Source organism: Homo sapiens, chromosome 3 (genome assembly GCF_000001405.40).
Source record: "Homo sapiens chromosome 3, GRCh38.p14 Primary Assembly".
NCBI classification, from domain to species: Eukaryota; Metazoa; Chordata; class Mammalia; order Primates; family Hominidae; genus Homo; species Homo sapiens.
In genome coordinates, this window is record NC_000003.12 from 12,980,723 (window position 1) to 13,001,607 (window position 20,885).

The 20,885-nt window shown below is 52.2% G+C and overlaps 1 protein-coding gene across 27 annotated transcripts in view, besides 11 other annotated features; it reads right to left on the reverse strand.

Moving 5' to 3' along the window:
• IQSEC1 (IQ motif and Sec7 domain ArfGEF 1) overlaps positions 1-20,885 on the reverse strand; it is a 386,215-nt gene that overhangs the window by 83,680 nt on the left and 281,650 nt on the right. For 3 of the 27 annotated variants that reach the window (XM_047449350.1, XM_011534314.3, NM_001330619.3), the window contains exon 1: positions 6,249-6,379. The exons of 20 other annotated variants lie outside the window; for them this stretch is intronic. The gene's annotated coding sequence lies outside the window, so the exon portion shown is untranslated. Of the gene's footprint in view, positions 1-6,248; positions 6,380-13,841; positions 14,255-14,301; positions 14,373-20,885 lie in introns of those variants that run through there. 4 more of the 27 variants (XM_047449361.1, XM_011534312.3, XM_047449345.1 and 1 more) reach the window with 3 other exon arrangements.
• Positions 1,985-2,034: a silencer, noted in NCBI's record as "silent region_14076". NCBI's record gives its function as "represses an Ori minimal core promoter by ATAC-STARR-seq in GM12878 lymphoblastoid cells {active_cell/tissue: GM12878}" and the evidence as "EXISTENCE:reporter gene assay evidence [ECO:0000049][PMID:35858748]".
• Positions 11,207-11,501: an enhancer, noted in NCBI's record as "tiled region #2966; HepG2 Activating DNase matched - State 8:EnhW". NCBI's record gives its function as "activates a minimal TATA promoter and a strong SV40 promoter by Sharpr-MPRA in HepG2 cells {active_cell/tissue: HepG2}" and the evidence as "EXISTENCE:reporter gene assay evidence [ECO:0000049][PMID:27701403]".
• Positions 11,207-11,501: a silencer, noted in NCBI's record as "tiled region #2966; K562 Repressive non-DNase unmatched - State 14:Gen5'". NCBI's record gives its function as "represses a minimal TATA promoter and a strong SV40 promoter by Sharpr-MPRA in K562 cells {active_cell/tissue: K562}" and the evidence as "EXISTENCE:reporter gene assay evidence [ECO:0000049][PMID:27701403]".
• Positions 12,901-13,459: an enhancer, noted in NCBI's record as "H3K27ac-H3K4me1 hESC enhancer chr3:13035123-13035681 (GRCh37/hg19 assembly coordinates)". NCBI's record gives its function as "activates a minimal SCP1, AML or CMV promoter by ChIP-STARR-seq in naive H9 embryonic stem cells {active_cell/tissue: H9 hESC(naive)}" and the evidence as "EXISTENCE:reporter gene assay evidence [ECO:0000049][PMID:30033119]".
• Positions 12,901-13,537: a biological region, named in NCBI's record as "H3K27ac-H3K4me1 hESC enhancer GRCh37_chr3:13035123-13035681".
• Positions 13,378-13,537: a silencer, noted in NCBI's record as "silent region_14077". NCBI's record gives its function as "represses an Ori minimal core promoter by ATAC-STARR-seq in GM12878 lymphoblastoid cells {active_cell/tissue: GM12878}" and the evidence as "EXISTENCE:reporter gene assay evidence [ECO:0000049][PMID:35858748]".
• Positions 13,558-13,607: a silencer, noted in NCBI's record as "silent region_14078". NCBI's record gives its function as "represses an Ori minimal core promoter by ATAC-STARR-seq in GM12878 lymphoblastoid cells {active_cell/tissue: GM12878}" and the evidence as "EXISTENCE:reporter gene assay evidence [ECO:0000049][PMID:35858748]".
• Positions 13,898-13,967: an enhancer, noted in NCBI's record as "active region_19463". NCBI's record gives its function as "activates an Ori minimal core promoter by ATAC-STARR-seq in GM12878 lymphoblastoid cells {active_cell/tissue: GM12878}" and the evidence as "EXISTENCE:reporter gene assay evidence [ECO:0000049][PMID:35858748]".
• Positions 14,019-14,577: an enhancer, noted in NCBI's record as "H3K27ac-H3K4me1 hESC enhancer chr3:13036241-13036799 (GRCh37/hg19 assembly coordinates)". NCBI's record gives its function as "activates a minimal SCP1, AML or CMV promoter by ChIP-STARR-seq in naive H9 embryonic stem cells {active_cell/tissue: H9 hESC(naive)}" and the evidence as "EXISTENCE:reporter gene assay evidence [ECO:0000049][PMID:30033119]".
• Positions 14,258-14,527: a silencer, noted in NCBI's record as "silent region_14079". NCBI's record gives its function as "represses an Ori minimal core promoter by ATAC-STARR-seq in GM12878 lymphoblastoid cells {active_cell/tissue: GM12878}" and the evidence as "EXISTENCE:reporter gene assay evidence [ECO:0000049][PMID:35858748]".
• Positions 20,507-20,801: a silencer, noted in NCBI's record as "tiled region #4746; HepG2 Repressive non-DNase unmatched - State 23:Low, and K562 Repressive DNase matched - State 5:Enh". NCBI's record gives its function as "represses a minimal TATA promoter and a strong SV40 promoter by Sharpr-MPRA in HepG2 and K562 cells {active_cell/tissue: HepG2 | K562}" and the evidence as "EXISTENCE:reporter gene assay evidence [ECO:0000049][PMID:27701403]".

Sequence of the window (20,885 nt, forward strand, 5' to 3'; positions counted from 1 at the left end):
CTCTTCCTAAGAGCCCTTCTGTTCTCTCCTGTTTTGGGCCTCGTCTGGTCCTCCAGGCATTTGGACCTGGTGAGCCTCTCACTGTCCAGCCCTGCCTGCAGGGACCCAAGTAGGGCTGCGTGGATGCTCCTTCCTGGGAGGAGCACTGTGAGCAGCGTGACAACCATGGCTGTCTTAGCCGATCCTGCCTCTTGACCTCAGGAGGGACCCTGCTCCATTATACTCCTTCCCTCTGCACTTTGGTGAGAGGAGCCAATCAATTCTCCCTTCCTCTAAGCAGTGTTCAGGTGAGTTTCTGTCAACTGCAACCCAAGTGTCCTGAGAGATCAATGCAGGATGGAAGCTCGCCTCATCTGATGGATGAACGAGGCCCCACAGCAGCCACTCCAAGGGCAGCAGAGGGGTGAGGCTTGGCGGGGTCGTGCTTAGGGGGAGCAGGAGCCAGCCAGACCTGGGTTTGAATCCTGGCTCTGCCACTTCCTAGCTGTGTTGCTTTGGGCAAATCACAGAAACTCTGAACTTCAAATTCCTTCCCTATAGATGAGGATAGTAATATCTACCTTGTAGGGCTAAGTCATTGATAAAGTTAGCTATACAAGGTGTCAGACTGTGTGTATGGCATTGCCACATTTGTGTTTAAAAATGGGGGGATAACATTTGTTTCTAGGCATTTGCTTATGTATATGTGAAACTCTGGAATCGGACACAAGAAACTAATAACACGAGACATCTCTGGGGGGGAGAACCGGCTGCTGGGGGACTAGTGTTGTTTCGTCACAATTCCCCCGTTCCCTTTCACTCCCCAAGTAGAAACAACAGGGGGAACTTTTCACCATATACCCTTTTGTATCTTTTGAATTGTAAACCATGTAAATAAACATGTTAGAAACATAGACAAAGCTAGATAAAAAATTACCATTAAAATTATTCTTTATCATAAAGAATTGTGAAGTATGATTGTAGAATTAGCTGTGAAATCTCTCTCTCATATATACATGCTAATGCCAGGCTGACAAAGGACACCCGGAAGAGCTAGCTGTGGAGGACCCGCCTCCTGCTGCCTGTCCCCTCTGCAGCAGCTTGGTGAGCCTCGAGTCCGCCATGGGGTCAGGAGCCGGGTGAGACCAGCCCGCATCCTCTTCCCCATCTGCACCCTGAGCACTTGCCTCCTGGCATCCCACAAGGGGCCACTGCTGCCTGTTCCATAGATGGGGACACTAAGACCCCAGGTCACAGGCTGCAACTGGAGATCCCCAGACAGCTCTGGCCCCAGATGGTTTCTGTGTGACCTGAGCTGGATTTGGGGCTTCCTGTGAAAGCTGGATGCACTGCCACATGGGGCCCACATGAGTTCCTGCCTGCCCACCTGGGACTGGTGCTGAGTCACTGTGGTGCCCTGTTAGCAGGTTAAGCACTGTTCTGCCAAAATCCCCCCCATTCTCTTTTGCGCCCCATATTGGAACCCACCATCAGTTGTCCTTTAGCATTTTATCAAACACGCTTAAAAAAAGTATAGGCCAGTGGTTCTCAAGCTTTTTGGTGTCAGGCTCCCTGTACACTCTCAACTGAGGATCCCAAAATTGTTTATGGGTGTGATATCTATCATCATTTACCATATTAAAAAATTAAAATTAAGACATCATCAACCTTGAGACATCTTTATAGCAAAAGCCTCAGTCTATCCACCAACATGTCAGGTGGCCTCTAGAATATTCTACAGCACACTTGTGCAAGAATGATGGTGATAAGGCAAACAACAGCTGCTTGTTGTTATTTAAATGGTTTGAACTCCCTGGACCACACTTTGAGAAACATTGCCATTAAAGAAAAAAATGTTCTTAGCCACAACCAACGCCAGCACCCATGCCATTTGCCTGGCCCCCGTGGGTGTTTAAGTCTAAGCCCTGTTCTAGAAAGAGAGAGAGGAACATGCTCTGGGTCCTATAGGCAGAACTGACTGGGGGGTCCCCTTTCTAGTCCTGGTGGCTGAGGCTGCATGACCCTGCTCAGCACCACAGCTTGCAGCCCCTAGTACTGACAGGAAAGAGCTGCCTGCCTGTGGTGGGGCTGTTGTTGGTCACTTCAGGAAACAAAACAGCATCAGCCCCCATCTGCTGTGTGCCTGCCATGCACCAGGCACTGGAGGAAACCGAGGCTGTTTGAGAAATCACTAGTCCAAACGTTCCCAGCTTGCAAGAGACAGTGGCAAGGTGCGGGCCCAGGTAACCCTGTCCTGAGGCTGCAGAGGGAGGCCCTGGCCGTGGTAATCAACCTTCAGCAAGGTACAGCTGTCTGCCCTCTCTGGGTGCTTGTGCGTGGGATGGAGGGTGAGGAGTGCTATTGCTCACTGGGGGCTCCTGAGGGCCTTCCCCACTGTAACTCACTTGCACCTGCCCCTCCTATGAGACAGGGACTTTATGGCCAGCATTCCGCTGGCCCCAGCTGCATAATCCAGATCTGAACTGGGTGCTCCAGCTCCAGCACCTAAGCCCCATCCTCTGCAAACAGGGGTTTCACCCAACCTTCCCCAGGTTGGGCATGGTGGCAAATTTAGATCAGATTAAAACGACAGCTCAGGGCACAGCTGGTAGAGCAGTCCTCGGAGGGGATGAAAGGTGGCGTGGTGACAACTGCAGTCTGGGTGCTGGCTTGGGGGCGGGTGAGGAGCAGGAGGAAGCATGGCTCACTCCTGGCCTGACCAAAGCAATCCCCAGCCCCACCTCTCACTGGGTTGGTCTTGGCAGGTCCAGCCCACCCACCACCTGTCACCCTGCTGGAGAACTGCAGCCTGGCCTTCCTAGCCCCGAGACAGAGCGGCCAGGATGAAGTGATGCCCCAGCCTTGAGCAGGGTGCCCAGAGGGGGTGCTGAGCCAGCCCCTGGAGCCCACTCAGCCCCGATTCCACCTTCTTGGCTCAGCTCCTTCAGGGACGCCTGGGCTGACCTCACAGGCCACGCTGGGCAATTCCTCCCAGCACCTGGGCGATGCTGTTCAGAGGACAATTTCCCTTTCCCTCTCCCCTCTGGACAGCTCCGTGAGGATAAGAATAAGGTTGTCCGACATACCCCACTTATGCCCAGCCTCAGCACGGCGCCTGGCACAACTAGCTGCTGGATAAATATTTGTGGATGAAATGAATATGCCCAGCTCATGTATGTCCCTGTCCCCAAATCCACATGCCTTTAAAAATAAAGCACCTACCTTCAAGGGGGCAGGCAGAGAGGTAAGGGCCTTTCATACGTGGGTTCTGGGGGATAGTAACATGGTAAACAGATGGTCTGCACAGAGCTGTCCTGACCCAAGGTACAGAGTGCCAGAAACAGCTGGAACTGAGATAGGGACCCAGGCCTTCTCTAAGTCAGGCCATCCTCCAGCCCCCAAGGTCAGGTCCATGGTCCAGTTCTCTCTGAAATTCACCAGGCTGGGTCTAACTCAAGCCGCTCCCATGGATCGGGGAAGGTGTTTGGAGTTTCCTTTCCCCTGGGGTTACCAGCAGAGTCCCTGGAGGGAGATTCTAGACAACTGAGCACAGGAGGACCACGGGGAGATAGGGAGGAGACCCCATGCCTTTGCTAGCGAGCATACTCAAGTCTAGTTTCACCATCCACATGTAGGGCCCCTGAGTAAATTTGTAAAAGGCGCCCTCTTCTGGTGGATACAGCCCCACAGGCCCAGGGCTGAGCTAACAAGAATGCCATTAGAGTGCAGTTGTTCCTCTGCCAACTGCCCTCATGCAGTGCACAACCTGAGTATCTGTACATTTGGGAGTGCCTGGAGTTCTGCCCCACAGGGTGACAGTGACTCTGGGTACCTGCCACCCTCCCAAGACCAACAGTGAATGCTGCTCCTCCTTTCAGGGGGCTGGGAAGCCTAAGGGCCATGCATGCACGACCTGTAGCCACATGGAACCACCTGCTGCCTTCCTGGGGAAAGATAAAGCCCCACCCCTCAGCCCCCTAGGAGATTTACATGGACAAAGATAAGTCGCTTACAGGTCCAGAAGTCACAAGATCAAGAGAAAACATGTTAGCCAGACTTAGCACTGCCTTCAGCTTCCTCCCAGTGCACTATTAACACTTTTAAAGCAATTACATTTTTTTTTTTTTTTTTTTTTTTTTTTGAGACGGAGTCTCACTCTTTCGCCCAAGCTGGACTGCAGTGGCGCTATCCCGGCTCACTGCAAGCTCCGCCTCTTGGGTTCATGCCATTCTCCTGCCTCAGCCTCCCGAGTAGCTGGGATTACAGGCGCCCACCACCACGCCCGGCTAATTTTTTGTATTTTTAGTAGAGACAGGGTTTCACCGTGTTAGCCAGGATGGTCTCGATCTCCTGACCTCGTGATCCGCCCACCTCGGCCTCCCAAAGTGCTGGGATTACAGGCGTGAGCCACCGCGCCCAGCCGCAATTACATTTTTAAGTAGTCAAATTTTTAAGGCAATCAAGACTGCATCCCTACATCACAGGCTTTAGCCCAAGTGGGCTGGGTGAGGTATGGCTTGCTTGGGTCTTGAAGGGGGCACACCCTCAGCCCTCTCACTGAGGCTGCCATACACGCTGGGCTCCCACACTGAGTCAGGAGCCCAGAGAGGGCCAGGGCTGCCTCAAGGTCACCCAATGGCCAGCTGGCAGTCAGGCTGGGCCCGAGTCAGGTCCCCAGGCCCCGCCCTTGCTCTAGATCCAGATCTGCTGGAGCCTGGGGGTGGGAGAGCTGGTCTCCAACTTGGGCCTTCACTGGGCACAGAGACACCGTTCTTTACTGCTTAACAATCCCCCCCCCCCCGCCAACCGTTTGCCCTGTGCCAGGCTGCAGCTTTCCTTAAGTCCTGCTGACAAGGAAAATCTGGTGCCAGCACCCACAAATATGTGTGACTTCTGGAGGGAGGCAGCAGCCTGGGTTCCCCAGGCCAGAGTGGGCGGATTTAAAGGACGGGTGGCAGAGTGGGGGGGGTCACTGGATAGGGGAGGACCAAACTGCCCAAGTATGTCTGGGATGGAGGGTGATAAACGTTTATATGTTTTTGACCAGATACCTGAAAAATACTTTCCATGTTTCTAGGGGGGCACATACATAGTCTTCACTGCATATTCTTTTATAATGTTTAAGATTTTCATCATGGGCCTGTATTTCCTAAGCAAATATTAAATTCATAGATCTAAACCCATACATAAATGGCCCAGGCAGAAAAGAAAGAGACAGGAGCTCAGAATTTCAGAAGATGAAGGGACCCCAGATACTGACCTTCTCTGTAAAAATGAAAGCTAGGGTTGACTGAGTGCCCATGGGCCTTGCCTGTTGGGCCATGTTTTGAAAGCCCTTCTTTACCATCTCATTTCAGCCTGAGCGACCTGAGGAGGGAGATGCTATTACTGACATCTTCCATGCTACAAACGAGGAAATGGAGCAAGGTCACCGCAGGCTGGACCCCTGCGCCCAGGTCACACCCACTGGCCAAGGCTGACAGCATGCTACAGGGAAGGCTACGTCACAGGCTGGGCTGGGAGCTGGGCTGGGACCTGAGGCTCTGGCTCCTGCTCTTTGTCCCGACTTTTTCCCCAGAGGCCTAGAGTTCCCTGGAGCCCCAGGTAACAGCAGCCCTGCGCCAGAGGCAATGTGCCTTGTCAGACAACTGAGAGTTCCCCGGGGGCCAGGAGCAGAGCCTGCAGCTTCCTTGGGGTCACACAGGCAGACTACTGAGATGCAGGTGGCCATCCTCAGCCCCTCTGTGAGCCTCAGTTTCCTCATCTATGAAACAGGTGAATCTTTCCTACCTTGGAAGGCAGGAGTAACGATGGCCCAAGATGAGGTATCTGACACACAGAGGTGCTCAGCACGCACTCATTCCCTTCCCCTCTCCCCTGCCTGGTGAACCCGAGAGTGGGAGGTCGGTCCTCTACTGGCTGCGTCCTGCCAGGCCAGGCATGGGGCACCGCCTGGGGAAAGGCACCAGGGTCTAGGGGGCAGGCTAACGGCTGGCAGTGACCCTCCCACCCAGAGGCACATACTAGGCACTGAAGAGGACGAGGAGCTGGGACGAGAACCAGGCTGGCAGGGTGCCTGTGCGCATATGTGAGCTCATGTGTGCTCCCCACAGGGGACCGAGACCCGGCAGGGGCTTGCTGTGGGCTGTGGCATCTCCCAGATCTCAGCTGCCCCAACAGACCAAGATAGAAGGAGCTTGGGAGGGGACATTTTATTTTCCAGCTAGAGATACTAATAGTGGGGCTGGCCCATCCCACCCTTCCCTTACCTTGGTCCAGTGCTGTGGGTGGGGGCCTCCTGCCACAAACAGCCGCAGCCTGGCTGGCTTCTCAGGCCTCCTCTGCTGCCCACACAGATGAGCTCCCTCAGCCGTCCCCCATCTGGTGCTGCGGCCAGTGCGGGTCATAAACCCTGAGCCCCTGCTTAATCCGCCAGCTCCCGAGTCAGCGCCAGCCAGACACGTGACACTGCAGCCCCACAGACCTGTTTGGCAGGAGCAGCAGCTGGTCCTGCTGGGGGCGGGGAGGGCTGTCCGCCTTGCCCTCGCCCTGTCCCTACCACCTCCCAGCCCACAGCCTGCAGTTGGGCCACTGCCTGCCTTGTAGCGAGAGGTATGGTACGTGCTGGGGGCAGTGCAGGTAGGGAAAAGAACACGGTTCTCACCAAATGGTGCCGGGCCACCTGGGAATGGGTATATGTGTGCACCTGGGGCCGTGCATGTGCACACATGTGCATGTGTCAGAGAGAGAGAGAGAGACCGTAGATGAAAATCTATTCCAGGTGGATTAAAGACCTAATGTGAAAGGTGAATAACGAGAATCTTCATGATTACAGGGTAGGAATGAGTTTCTCAAAACACGAAAAATGTTAATAAAGTGAGAAAGTTGACTACTTGAATTAAGAATTCTGAAATTGAGAAGTTTATCCCAACACCCTGTAAAGAGTGAAAAAGGCAGGCAGGAGGGAGGGAGAAGAGGTCTACAATGTGGATAACTGACGAAGGATTAGAATCTGTAGCACCCAAAGAAGCCTCCAAATCGTAAAGAAATAAAAAGACAGCCCAAGATGGGTGAAAGGCATGAACAGGCACTCCACCAATGATGAAATCCAAACAGCCAATGGACAAACAAAAGATCCCCAACCTCATCGGGGAGATGCAAATTCAAACCACAGCAAGAAACCATTACCCACCCACCAGGTGAGTGAAAACGACAAAGACCGACAATGCCCAGTGTGGGGTTGGGGCAAGGCTGTATGCTTGCTTTACAGCCAGTATGTGCCCCAGAGACAGCTCATGCCATGTGTGCTGGGACACAGGTTCAAGAGCAACAGCCCCAAACTGAAAACAACCCATGTGGTCCATCACAGTAGACTGCATACATAAGCTGTGGCCTGTCGATACAATGAAATACTATTTATTTAAAAGGACAGCTGGGCGCGGTGGCTCACGCCTGTAATCCCAGCACTTTGGGAGGCCGAGGCAGGTGGATCACTTGAGGTCAGGAGTTTGAGACTAGCTTGGCTAACATGGCAAAACCCCATCTCTACTAAAAATACAAAAAATTAGCCAGGCGTGGTGGTAGGAGCCTGTAATCCCAGCTACTGGGGAGGCTGCGGCAGGAGAATTGCTTGAACCCGGGAAGTGCAGGTTGCTGTGAGCTGAGATTGCGCCAATGCACTCCAGCCTGGGCGACAGAGCGAGGCTCTATCTCAAAAAAATAAAAATAAAAATAAAAATAAATACAATAAAAATAAAAGAATGAACAGCAACTTATTGCATAGGTGAATCTCGCAGATGCAACTTTGAGCAAAAGGAGCCAGACCTGAACAAATATCCACAGCCTGTTTATATTCAGCTCAAAAATAATAAAAGCAAAATTATATTGTAAAAAGCTGTTCCATAGGTGGTACGACAGGAAGGGCAAGAGGGACATTATTAGCACAAAGTCAGGATGACGACAATCTCTGAGGAGCAGGCTGGGGAGGGGCACACGGGGGCTTTGGGCAATGCTCAGTCTCTTGACCCATGCAGTGGTCACACGCATGTTCTTATTTTTCTTTAAGCTGTGCATGTTTGTCCTTGCACCCTTCTCTATGACAGGTGACCACATTTAAAATAGAAAGGTACATGTGATAAGGGTGGGGAAAGGCATGGACTCCAAGCTGTGACTGCAGAGCCACCAGGCAGCAGCATCCGAGCTAGAAGGGCTCATCTTGCTCTCTTATGTCACAGACAAGAACTGAGGATCAGAGACAGGAAGGAACTTGCCCAACGATGCAAAGCAAGTTAGAAGCCAGCAGGGCCAAGACTAGAATCTAGGTTAGGCAAAGCCCAAACCAAGGCTCTCCTCTCTGGTCTCTTTGGAAGAGTTCTTCCATTGCAAATCACATTTAACACCAACTGGAGCAGATGGGTTGATTTTAGCATTTAGCACTCCAAAATTATTTTGTTTGCTTATGTATTGTGGGTCTCTTGCCACTAGAATAAAAGCTCCCGGAGGGCATGGCTTTCGGTCTCTTTTGCTCCAGTGGTAACCCCAGCACCAAACTGAAAATCTGGCACATAGTAGGTGCTCCATAAATATTTGCTGAATGAGTAAATGAATGGAGCTGATGCTTCTATTTGCACTTTCAGATCCTAGAAATCCCTGGTGGCTTCTGTGATATCCCAAAGGAGAAAACAGAAAAACAACTGTATGATACTGACACACTTTCACAGAATTATCTTCATAACTGCCTTAGGAGGTGGGTACCATCATCACCCCATTTTAAAGAGGAGAAAACAGGGAGGCCTAGTGACTTGTCCAAGGTCATGCACAAAGCTAGGAAGCTGACAGCTGGAATTCGAACCCAGCCCAGCTGCCTTCAAGCACCCCTAGGATCACTGAACTGGAAGCACAGAAAGGCTGAACCCCATCCATGACTCTGAAGCCCCCAAAAGGCTGGCTGGCCCTGGGCCACTCCACACACCTGAGCTTACCACGATCTGTGGGATTCAGTCCCTCTTGTCCTCACCCGCCCTCAACCCTCCTGAGTGCTGGTTCTGACTTCTAAAGTGTTTTTCCGGTCTCTTCCAAACTCGCAGCCCCCAGTAAGGAAGCCTGGGTAGGGATTAGGTCCCCCATGATAAAGATGGGGAAGCTTTGGTTCAGGGAGGGGAAGGGACTTGTCCAGAGCAACAAAGAGTCCGGCTCTCTGACCTAAAGGCCTCCTAAGTTAGAGTGACAGACAGAGACCCCAGCTGCTGCTCAAGGATTAGCCATAAGATGCTCAATTTTCTTCCTGGTTCCTTTTATACCAAACCCTCAGTCCACTTGGATAAGCCCCAAACCTGGTCCTAGTTCAGCATCTGGCTGAGCTAAATAATGAAATGCTCCCATAATACCCCTCGGCACTTGGCTTTATTAAAACACGTTGGCACTTTTAGGATTGTTACAAACCTGTGTTACTATCCTGATAGCTTTCCACCAAGTCCTTGGATCACTGAAAAAATAAATCATTGGCTGTGGGAGTCTTGGAGCTAAAATGGTCCTGCAGGGCATCTCAGCTAACTGAAATTTGTGAATCCTCCACCTGGCCTCACTCCACACACCGATGAGGGAAACTCACTGCCTTCTAAGGCAGCCTGTTCCTTGTTTGGATTCAGCTCAGTCTCAGTCAGGCACAACAAGAACTTATATCCTCCCCTGGCACTAGGGATGAAGTAATGCCTCAGGCCCCACTCTGCCCTCAGGGAGTTCACAGTCTGGAAGAAGAAATTGTGTAAGCACAACTGGATAAGGAATGACGCAGGCCAGGGTTACCTTCTAAAAAGACAGCAGGTAAGGCCCAAGCTGTGTGTACAGAGGTCATTAGCTCCCACAGCTGGCTTTCTATGCTGTCACACACGGCACGCAGGGATTTATTTGGGTCAGTCTGGACTCCGCGCACTTGAGTCTGAAGCCCTTCCCAGAGGAATGCCACCCTGAGGGTGTCTGGGTACACAGACTGGTAAACTGCTGGGGCTCTGGGGCAACCGAGCAACGCTGAAAGGACAATCAATGGTGCAGCATCCTACATCATTCCAGCTGGCCTGTGGGATTGACACTGTTTTAATATTATGCTTCGAGAACCATCATACAAGGGAATGATAGGTTTGTGGTTTTGCAGACGAAATGGGAAATACATGTGAAAGCCCCTGTGATCAGGTCTGGCATGGAGTAGATGCTTAGAAAAAAATGCTCGCTGGGTTTGCACTGCAATCCTGCTGGATTAGAAAGCCACATACACAGTTCTCTGAGTCACAGTTCTCTAAGTCACTGAGAATTTAGCAGCCTGCTTCCTGCTTTTCCAAACTGACGCTTGCTATGATGGCCCCACTGAATAGCCCCGAGGCAGGGGGTGAGAGGGAGTCTGGAAGACTGGTATATTACCAGGGGTCTAAAGTCAGTCCCTACCTGCGCCCTGCTTTGCATCGCCCTTCTGTTCAGTGATAATGGTATCCCCGCGGGGAAGATTCAGGGACTCAGGGCAGGATTTGCCAAAGAGGTATCATGGATGAGGGTGATGAAGGATGAACGGAGTTTGCCAGATGGCAGGGGTGGGGTGTTCCTTCCCGCAGGAGCCAAAGCAGGGCGAGGCGGGGGCCCAGTGGAAAGGCAGGGGGCTCCAGAAAATGCTGCTCCCACAAGCAGGTTTGCATCTCACTGCATGGTGGTAATGAATGCTGATCTGAGATGCGGCAGTGCGTGGGACCCCAGTCTACACGGACCTCACCAACAGAATGGGCTTTTGCCAGCCTCTTGCACGTGAGAAACACCTCTTGATAGGAATGAGCAGCCCCCCACTCCCCACCTGCCTAATTATGAGGGGCAGGGGGAGTGATGAGGGCTCTGGTCAACTCTCCTACCAGAGGCCAGATTCAGACTCCCTGACCAGCACAAAGGCAGCTCCAGCTTGCACAGCCCAGTGATGGGCAGCTTCCTACAAGAACAAAGGATGGCTGTATTCTTGGCTGGGGACACTTAGGTGCTTAGGTCCACCCCTTATACCAATGGCTGAAACTGTGTGCAGGAAAGCTGAGGACACAAATGGTCGCAGTTCTTCTGGTGTGGCCTCAGCACTCCCCTCTGGACAATGGGGGAAGGGAGCATGACTAAAACCAAGGGTGGTGGTGTGGGGACAGCAGGCATGGGACAGGCAGGGCAGGGCAGGTTGGTCAGAGCAGCGGCTGGAAGGGCGGGCTGCCATGGGCCCTTTAAGCAGCCTTGAAAGAGAGTGGCAACTCCAGTCATGAGACCCAAGATTACCTAATGTTTGCAAACCGTGCAGGAGACAGTCCCCTGCAGAGGTGAGCACAGGCCCCCTCCCTTGTCCCTCCACTGCAGAGACCTCTGAGGGGACACCGAGTCCTCCGAGCATTCCCCAGGAAGCAGCCCTCTCAGGATGACTGGGTTGCTGGAGAGCTGGGGACAGGGCCCCTCGGCTCTGAATACGCTGTGTGACCTTGGACATGTCCCTGCCTCTCTCTGGCCTCAGTTCTCCATCTCTAACACAGTAGGGTGGCTCCGGGATGCTCCCTCCGGCACTGATGCTTAATGGCTGGGCTGTGGGCATTGTGGCCACCCCAAGTCACCTCTCAGTTTATCTTTTCCTGTGGGGGGTGGGGGGTGGGAGGAGATGGCACCGCTAAGGCAATTTCTCTTCTTTCCCCTTAAATCTGGTTTCTGGGCTCTAATTGCACATGGCTTCAGCAGCCTGGCCATCTTGCCAACTGTAATGAGGAGGTGGGCATCATACTGGGGGCAGGGGAGGGTGACGAGAAAGCTATTCCTGTGTCACCTTAATTCAGAATTGTTCAGAGGGGGCTGCACAGGCCAATGTGTCCACTGCCTGGTGGAGCCTGACCACAAAATGAAACGGTGGCTCATCAAAGTGCACAACCAGACCCCTGCTCCCAGTCTAGGACAGGTCCCTCACCACCACAGATCACTGGGCATGCTCAGAGCAACACTCACAAAGCTGACCAGGCAGAGCCGACTGCTGTCCTTGTGAGCCTCATCTCCTGGACAAGGCCAGGGGGAGGGGACACCCACTGTCACCTTTCTGCTCCCTTTGCTCCAGGAACAGATCAGCTGTGACAGTTGAGAGCTTGGCAATTTAAAGTGACAACTGCCTGGCAGAAACATGGGAGGGGAAGTTCCCCAGGACTATTAGGGGTGGGGAGAAGCTTGACTCACCTCTGCCAACCCACCCTGCCTGCTTAGAGCCCAAGGGCAGGTGGTTTTGTAGCGGGAGGTTGCGGTGGGGGCGGGGGTCCCACACTCTAAGACCCTGGCCCAGGAGTGTCTCATCCTCAGGCTGGCAGGTGGGACAGGTTTCCAACAACAGCCCCCATTACACCTCATCCCCCTGCTGCCACCTGCCCCCTATGGGTCAGGGTCCAGAGGTCGCCAAGGCTGTTCTGGTCCCCAAGACTGCTCCCTAAGCCAACTCTCCTGGAGGTCTACCGGGAGAGCTCCCTCCACCCCAAGACTGAGAACCAGTCTCTTCCCCACGTGGTAATGGCAGGAGGGGCTGCCCAAGGTCACACGGGGTTGGGAGGCAGGGACAGGGCCAGGTTGGACCCAGCCCTCCAGCCCTGCCAAAGCTTCTCCCTCCCTCCCAAGGCGCGTCCGTGTGGCTCCCAGCGAATTCCTGAGATGCCTCAACCTCCCGCTCGCAGGCTCGGGACCCTGGACGCGGTGGCGGGATTTCTCCGCCCGGAGGCAGCAGCGGTGGTGGAGGCGGGGTGGGGGTGGGGAAGAGAAGCAGGGTAGTGCGGAGTCGGGGGGTGGGGAATGCTTTGCATGGCGACCCTCGGGGTCTGGATTCACGTACCCCCGCTTCGGGGAGGCAACCAACTGCACTGATGAAGAGATGGAGCACCCCGCCCCTCCCCGACCCCCAATATCGCGCCTTTAGCGTTCGCAAGGCTTCGGGATAAGCCGTCTGCATAGCCGCGGAGGTTGGGGCTTCTGCGTCCTCACCGCTCCAGTCCCAGAGAGCGACACCGCAGAGCCCAGCTCAGAAAGACTGGCGCTGGCGCGCCCCGGCCCCCATTCCCGTGAGCTTGGCGGCCGCTGATCCCCAACCCCACAACCCTGCGGCCGGTGCGGGCTTAGCAACTGCGGCCTCGCAACCTCCTTCCGAGACCCGCTCCGCGAAGCCCGCCGCGATCCCCGCGCGCCCCAGGTTCCCGAGAGCCAACTGCGTGTCGGTGCAACCGCGGCCCCGGGGGCGGAGCTGCCGCCCAGGCCGCCCCGCGGAGGGCATTCCCGGCTGCAGCCCCAGCGACCCCCGCCCGGGGCCCCGCACCGCACCGGTCGCCGGGCGCGTCCCCCGCCGGCCCGCCTCCTACCTCGCGGGTCCGCCCGCAGCCGCCGAGAGCGCGCCGTCCCCGCGGCCGGCGCGGCCCCAGAGCGTCCGGTGGCCGGGCGCGGGGGGGCGGGGGCGGGCGCTCGGGAGCCGGAGCCGGAGCCCGAGCCCGATACCAGCGCCACCGGCGGGGCGGCCTCCCCGCGCGCCGCCCTCCTGCCCGCCCCACCGCCCGTGCGCCGTGACCTTGGCGGGTGGCCTCGCCGCGCCTGGCCTCAGTTTCCCCCCTCGGAAGGTGTGTGTGCGTGCGCGGCTGTGCTAGGGGGCGGGGAGGACGGTGCCGCCCCGGCCGCCGACGTCACCCGAGCCTGGACGAGTGGAGGGCGCTCAGGTCGGTGCAGCCGCTGCAGCGGATGGGTCAGGAGAGCGGGGTACGCGGGGTCCAGGCGCGGAACCGGGGGCACTGCGACCCCCGGCATTTCCCTCAGACTACCCCAGACCCCCAATAAACAGCGAACAAACGCACCTCAGGCCAAGTCCCCCGGCTCCTCCGAGGGAAAGCTGCAGCCCCGGCCGAAACGCCCCACCCCCGCCGCCGTCCCCAGTTCGCAGATGGGAACACTGAGGCCCACAGCAGGGAAGCCACTGGCCCAGAGGCGCACAGCTGCACCACGCTCCTCCGCGTCCCCTCCAGGACACACCCTCCTGACTGTTTGGGGACGGGGTGGGGACCTGGGCCTGCCGGTGCCGCCCCCATCCCTCAGCCGACCTCGATTTAGATGCTGGGACGGGCCCTGGTGGCCTGGCGACTGTTACAGAGAATGGGGTGGGCACAATCGGAAGGGAGCCCAAAGACGGGGAAGAAGTGGCGCAGATAGCAGAGGCTGGGCCTGGAAGGGATATGGGCGGGAGCGCGCCCGCGGGGGTGCACCTAAGGAGAAAGCGAGGACGCGCGAGTGCCCTCCCTGGTGGGTCGCAGAGCAGACCTGCCCCGGAAGCCCTGAACGCCGGGCCGGGAGCGGCGGCCTCTCTCCCGCAGCCGGAACCCCGCCGGTCTGGAGCGAGGGCGTCAGGTGGCGGGCTGCGATTGGGACGAGGCGCCCCCTGGTGCCCGGAGGCGGCGAGACCGGAGACCGGAGGGACGGGGCCGCCAGGGCCCAGCCAGAGAAGCTGAGCGAGTGATGTCATGAGTCAGGAGACCCGGCTCTGTGGGTCCTGCCACGAGGGGCTGTGTGACCTTGGGCAAGACGTTTCCCCCTCTGGACTTCTGGGAGGAAAGGACAGAAGGAGGGACCCTGATTTTTACCTCTGACATCTCATGACCCTGGACATCTGGGTCAGGTGAGAATGGGCAAATGGATCCAGAAAGGCACAGACGGATCAGAAGTGAGATGTAGACACTGTTCAGCACTGGAGGAGGATTATTCATTTACTTGAGGCAGAAACTAGTATCCCAATTTTACAGACAAGGACACCGAGGCAGAGAGGTAAAGTCATCTGCCCACATTCACACAGCAGCTAAGGGGTGAGCTGGGATTTGAACACCCACCTGCGAAGCTGTAGCGTCTAAGCAGTGTGCCTGACTGCCCCACTCCCCACTCTTGCAGAATTTATTGAGCATCTAAGTTGTCCCTAGAATACCCAAGGCACTGGTGACAGAGACGAATAAGGAACGGCCCAGCTCCTGGTGGGTCTTCCTGCCTCGTGGCAAGAGTTAAGCCCATGGCTTCTTATCAGTGCTCACAGCCAACTGTACAGTGGATCCCCTGGGAATGGGCTTGTGGGCTGAAATGTGAGTCCCATCCCCACTGCATATTCTACCCTTCCATATTATTGGAGGTTTAAAAAATATTTTTAAGGGCTAGGTGTGGTGGCTCATGCCTGTAATCCCAGTGCTTTGGGAGGCTGAGGTGGAAGGATCACTTGAAGCCAAGAGTTTTGAGGCCAGCCTGGGCAACACAGCGAGACTCCATCTCAAAAATAAATTAACCAGGCATGGTAGTGCTCCAGCTACTCGGGAGGCTGAGGCAAGAGGATTGCTTAAGCCCAGGAGTTCAAGGTTATTGCGAGCTATCATTGCACCACTGCACTCCAGCCTGGGCAACAGAGCAAGACTTTGTCTCTTAAAAACACTTTTTTTTTTTAAAGAGCAGTTAAGGGAAGATAAGATGCTTGTAGTTTTAATATTTAAAAATGCAGTCCCTGAGAAGCCATATACTTTTGTTGTCAGTGCCAGGAGTAGGTCACCTGGCTGGTTGGAAGGCAGGTGAGGAAGTGAGAATGACAAAGGTTTTAGAATCTGTTGGACCTGGGCAAGTCCCACGACTTTTCTGAGACTCATTTGAACTCATCCTTAAAATGGAACTGAAGCTAAAAATTCCCACCCTGCCTCGCTTCCAAGGCTGCTGTGAGAATTAACTATGATAATGTGTGGAAAGCCTGCACAAAATGCACTGTGTAAATATTTTCATTCCCAGGAGCCGTGAAGGAAGATGTCGAACACTTAACTGCATAAAAATTAAAACTATGTAAATGGAATCAAAATACCATAAACAAAGTAAAAAAGACAAATGGTAAACTGAAAAAAAATGTCTGCTGCAGCACATATGACAGAATTTAATTGAGGAAAATGCAATGAAAGTTAATTTCTCTAATACATAAACAGGTCTTTCAAATCGATAGGAAAAAGATGACTAACCCATTAGAAAAAAGAGCAAAGGATATGAACAAGCAGCTCATGGAAAGATCTTCAATCTCACTTGTAATTAAATGTATATTAAAGAAATACAAATCAAAACACAACATGGTTGCCATTTTTTAATCTACCAAGTTGGCAAAAACGAATAAGTTTGCTAATACTTTTGCTGCTAAAGGTGGGAAGAAATGAGCACTCTCAAAAATGCTGTAGGGTGAGGTGCCAGATGGTGCAACCAATCGGGAAGGGTATGGCGAAGCTACTACAGCATGCTAATATAAAAATACAAGGACAGACAACACAGCACTGTGTGTACCAGTAAACAGCGAAAGAAAAGAGCCATCTTCAGGGTCCAGCAGTAGGAGAGGGAGTAACTTCATTAAGATACCCATTACTGGGACTTTGTCCTAGGATGGACAGATCTCCAGGTCATATTTCTACTGAAAAATTCAAGGAACAGAAGACTGTATATCATGATCCTTTTGTGTACAAGTTAAAAGGCTCTATGTAGATGTGTGTGGGAATTTCCTAATTTTCCCAAAGGACACAAATATGCCGAAACAAAAAAACTCTTATTGATGGATACCTTTTGGGAGGACTGAGGGGTGCATGGAATGGATATGTGAGGCGCTTTTACTTTTCATTTTATACTTTTTTGTAATAATTGATTTTTAAAAGGTCAACAGGGGTTATCTGGGCACAAGCTGATGGGCCAATTGAAGTCTCTTCTTGACATGTCTTTATATTTAAACAATCAGGTTTGCAGTGCTTAATGATGGGGATACATTCTGAGAAATGTGTCCTTAGGTGATTTCATCATTGTGAAACCTCATAGAGTGTTCTTACACAACCTAGATGGCACAGCCTACTACACACCTAGGCTATATGGTATGGCCTAGTCCTCCTAGGCTACAAACCTGTTCAGCATATGACTGTACTGAACACTGCAGGCACTTAATCACAATTATTCCCTTGGTTTCCTCCATATACAGTTATTCCAAATCAATAAGAAAAAAACATGAACAACTCAAAATAAAAATGTCCAATTAATTTGACCAGGTAGTAGATATTTGTGTATCTAAACATAACATAGAAAAGGTACGGTAAAAATATGGTATTATCATCTTATGGGACCACCATCATATATGTGGTGTGTCATTGACCGAAATGTCATAATGCACATTACTATAAATGTTTTTAAAGTGAATAAAAATTATTGAAGTATTCTTGTTCCTTAAAGTCCACCAGTGAGGGATTTGTTAAACAGATTATAATTAAGACACATCCATATGATGGAAGCCTATGCAGCCATCAAAAAGAATGTGGCAGCTCTACGGCCAGGCACAGTGGCTCATACCTGTAATTCCAGCACTTTGGGAGGCCAAGGCAGGTGGATCACTTGAGGCTAGGAGTTCAAGATCAGCCTAGGCAACATGGCAAAACACCGTCTCTACTAAAAACACAAAAATTAGCTGGGTGTGGTGGCATGTGCCTGTAATCCTAGCTACTTAGGAGGCTGAAGTGGGAGGATCACCTGAACCAGGGGAGACTGAGGCTGCACTAAGCTGTGATCACTCCACTGCACTCCAGCCTGGGTGACAGAGTGAGACCCTGTCTCAAAAAAAACAAACAACAAAACAAGACAAAAACAACAACAAAAAAGTGGCATCTCTACATGGACTGATATGATAAGGAACAATCCCCAAGATATTTTGGTAGGTGCAATAAAGGATGTAGGGTATGTTACTTTTTATGTAAGAAAGAGGGAGTAAGCCAGGTGTGGCAACTCTTACCTGTAATCCCAGCTGCTCAGGACGATGAAGTGGGAGGATCACTTGAGGCCAAGAGTTCAAGAGCAGCCTGGGTTAATGTAGCAAGGGTCCCTCTTAAAAAAATTTTTTTTAAATAAAAATAAAAATCTGGAATTAAAAAAAAAGAGGGGGTATAGAATATCTGCTGGTACCTGCATATGTTGTCTCTGACAAAGATGCTCAAGAAACTGGTACATGGTTTTGCCATGTTGCCATGCCCTGGGGAAGGTTCTGGGTGATGACCGAGGGTGAACTGTGGAGACAGTGGGGATGGAGAGCTGCCTGCTACACTTCCTGCTTTGTGGGCAGCTATAAAGTGGGGGGTCGGGGGGCAGGATCAAGGCCAAGGCTGATCTCTGGGTAGGTTGAGTGGTTTTGTTTCCCAACATGAAGCTTTGCCCCCCTAGACGTCTTCGTGCCCTGGGGGATGGAGTGGAAAGGAGACTGGCTTTTCACTGAAATGTTTCATTTAAGTATTTTTTGCATGTATTACTACATGCATGTATTACTGTTTGTAAAATATTATGTTTAAAACTAATTTCTGAGTGGGGAGCTGAGAAGCCTGATTTCTAAGAGCCTGCTGTGGCACTCAGGATGACTCCCCGTGTGACTTCAGGAAGGCAGGTGTCCCTTCTGAGCCTCAAGGTCCCCTCTATCAAGAAGCATAAGACGAGTACTAAGACTCCTTACAACTCTGATGCCATACCAGCTCCAGAACCTTCTCCCTGGAAGAGCCACTTAGATATGGAATGGCTGCTGGGGAGGTAGGGACTCCCTGTCCTTGGGCTCATGGGAGCAGGGCTGAGGGTAAACTGCCTTGCATGACTTCTAAAATCCCTCCCAGCTCGGCAGTGTGCTGTTCCTTCTTCATTCTCCCATTCCCAGTGCCCTGCCTGGAAACTCTTAGTTCATATTTCCTCTCTAGGTTACCCCTGGCAATGGTCTCGTCTGTCTGGGTTGGAGGTCAGTCCTGTGGTGTGGGGACAGATGACACAGCACTGGGCGCCCACGTGGGGCGGGGACATCTAGGGGAACAAAGCGTCATGTTGGGAAACAAAACCGCTCACCCCACCCAGAGATTAGCCTTGGCCTCCGTCCCGCCCCCTGCACTTTATAGCTGTCCACAAAGCAGGAAGTATAGCAGGCAACTCTCAGTTCCCATTGTCTCTGCAGTTCACCATCGGTCATTACCCAGAACCTTCTGTGACTCCCTACTGCCCACCAAACCAGGTAGACACTCTTCAGGGGACATTCAAGCTCCTGTACTTTCTGGCCTCAATTTGTCCCTTCTAGCTCTTCACTCTGTCCATTATTGTCCCTTATCAAAGTAATTTTCAACAATACACATTCGATCACATCCCTTCCCTGCTCTAAACGCTTCTGTAGCTCCTATGTCCTGTGTAATAAAGTCCAAGCTCCTTAGGAACTAGCATTTGCCTCCCTGCTTAGCTCTATCTTCAACTATGTCTCTCAAAATTAGGCTAAACCTAATGCTTTTCAAGCACACTGTACTATTTCATATCATTGTGTATTAGCACATACTATTCCCTTGGTTTCCTCCATATATAAAGAGTTATTCCAAATCAATCAAAAACAAAAAAAATGAACAACTCAAAATAAAAATGTCCAATCAATTTGACCAGGTAGTTCAGTGAAAAAGAAATACAAATGGCCTGTAAACATTCAAAAAGATGTACGACCTTACACAGAAACACAAATCAAATGATAATCTCATTTTCATCCATCAAATGGGCAAAAATTCATAGAAAGCTCATGTCTCTTTGTATATTAGCTGAAGTCCAAACCCATCCTTTAAATCCAGCTCTAAAAATGTCACCTCCTCTAGACGTCATCTTCTTGGCTCCCACAGTGTCCTGTACATCTTGAGACAGTGGGGCCAGGTACAGAGCAGAAATTCTATAGATGTTAGCTATTATTAATAAAAATAACAGCTACCATGCTGTTCTGTGGTCATCAGCTAATGGTTCTGTCCACCTGCCCAGAAGGTCCCTGAAAGCAGGAATAGAGTCTGCTTCATCACTGCTTTACTAGGACGAGCACAGGGCCTGCTACAGAGCCATGCCCTGTAAGCAGACAGGTGAGGTATATGCAGCAGAGGGAAGGCTGAAGCCAGGAGCCAGCCCTCAAGGGCTGCCCTGCTGGGGAGAGTAGGCACTGTGGAGGGGAGGGCTGAAGGAGGGCCAGTTGGTGGGCACAGCCCCAGGCTTGCAATAAACACAACTTCCATGAACTGGTACCCACTTTGTGTCAGAGAGCACTGTGCCAGATACTTTATCCAAACTATCTCTATTCCTGCAGATTCTTTGAGATGGGTGGTGTGCCCTCCATTTTACAGGTGAGAAAACAGAGGCTCAGGAATGGGGAGTGACTTACCCAAGTGAGTCTTTTTTTTTTTTTTTTTTTTGAGACAGAGGCGTGTGCTGTCACTCAGGCTGGAGTACAGTGGCTCGACTTTGGCTCCCTGCAACCTCTACCTCCTGGGTTCAAGCAATTCTCCTGCCTCAGGCCTCCCAAGTAGCTGGGATTACAGGTGCTTGCCACAATGCCCAGCTTTTTTTTTAAATTTTTTTATTTTTAGTAGAGATGGGGTTTCACCATGTTGGCCAGGCTGGTCTCGAACTCCTGGCCTCAAGTGATCCGCCCACCTCAGTCTCCCAAAGTGTTGGGATTACAGGCATGAGCCACCATGCCCGATCCTAAGTGAGTTCTTATCATTACCCCACACTGCCTGTGCTGGCTTGTGGGCACTTGATAGATGCATGAGGTTGGACATTTCATGTTCCCTATCTGGAACTCTGCTCTCCCGTCTGAGAAATGGCTCTATATTAGGGGTTTCTCAAACTTAAGAACTGATGGGCCTCTAAGAATACAGTTCCCAAGCTCCATCAGGCCCCACCTTTTAGAAACACTGCATCCAGTGGTAAACGCTGCTACACTGGAAGGTCCTGTGATGACCACATGTTCATAAAGAAAAGGCAGCCACGAACATCAGGGAGCAGAGCTCAGTTGGTAGAGGGTCGTCCAGATGACCTGCAGCATGCTT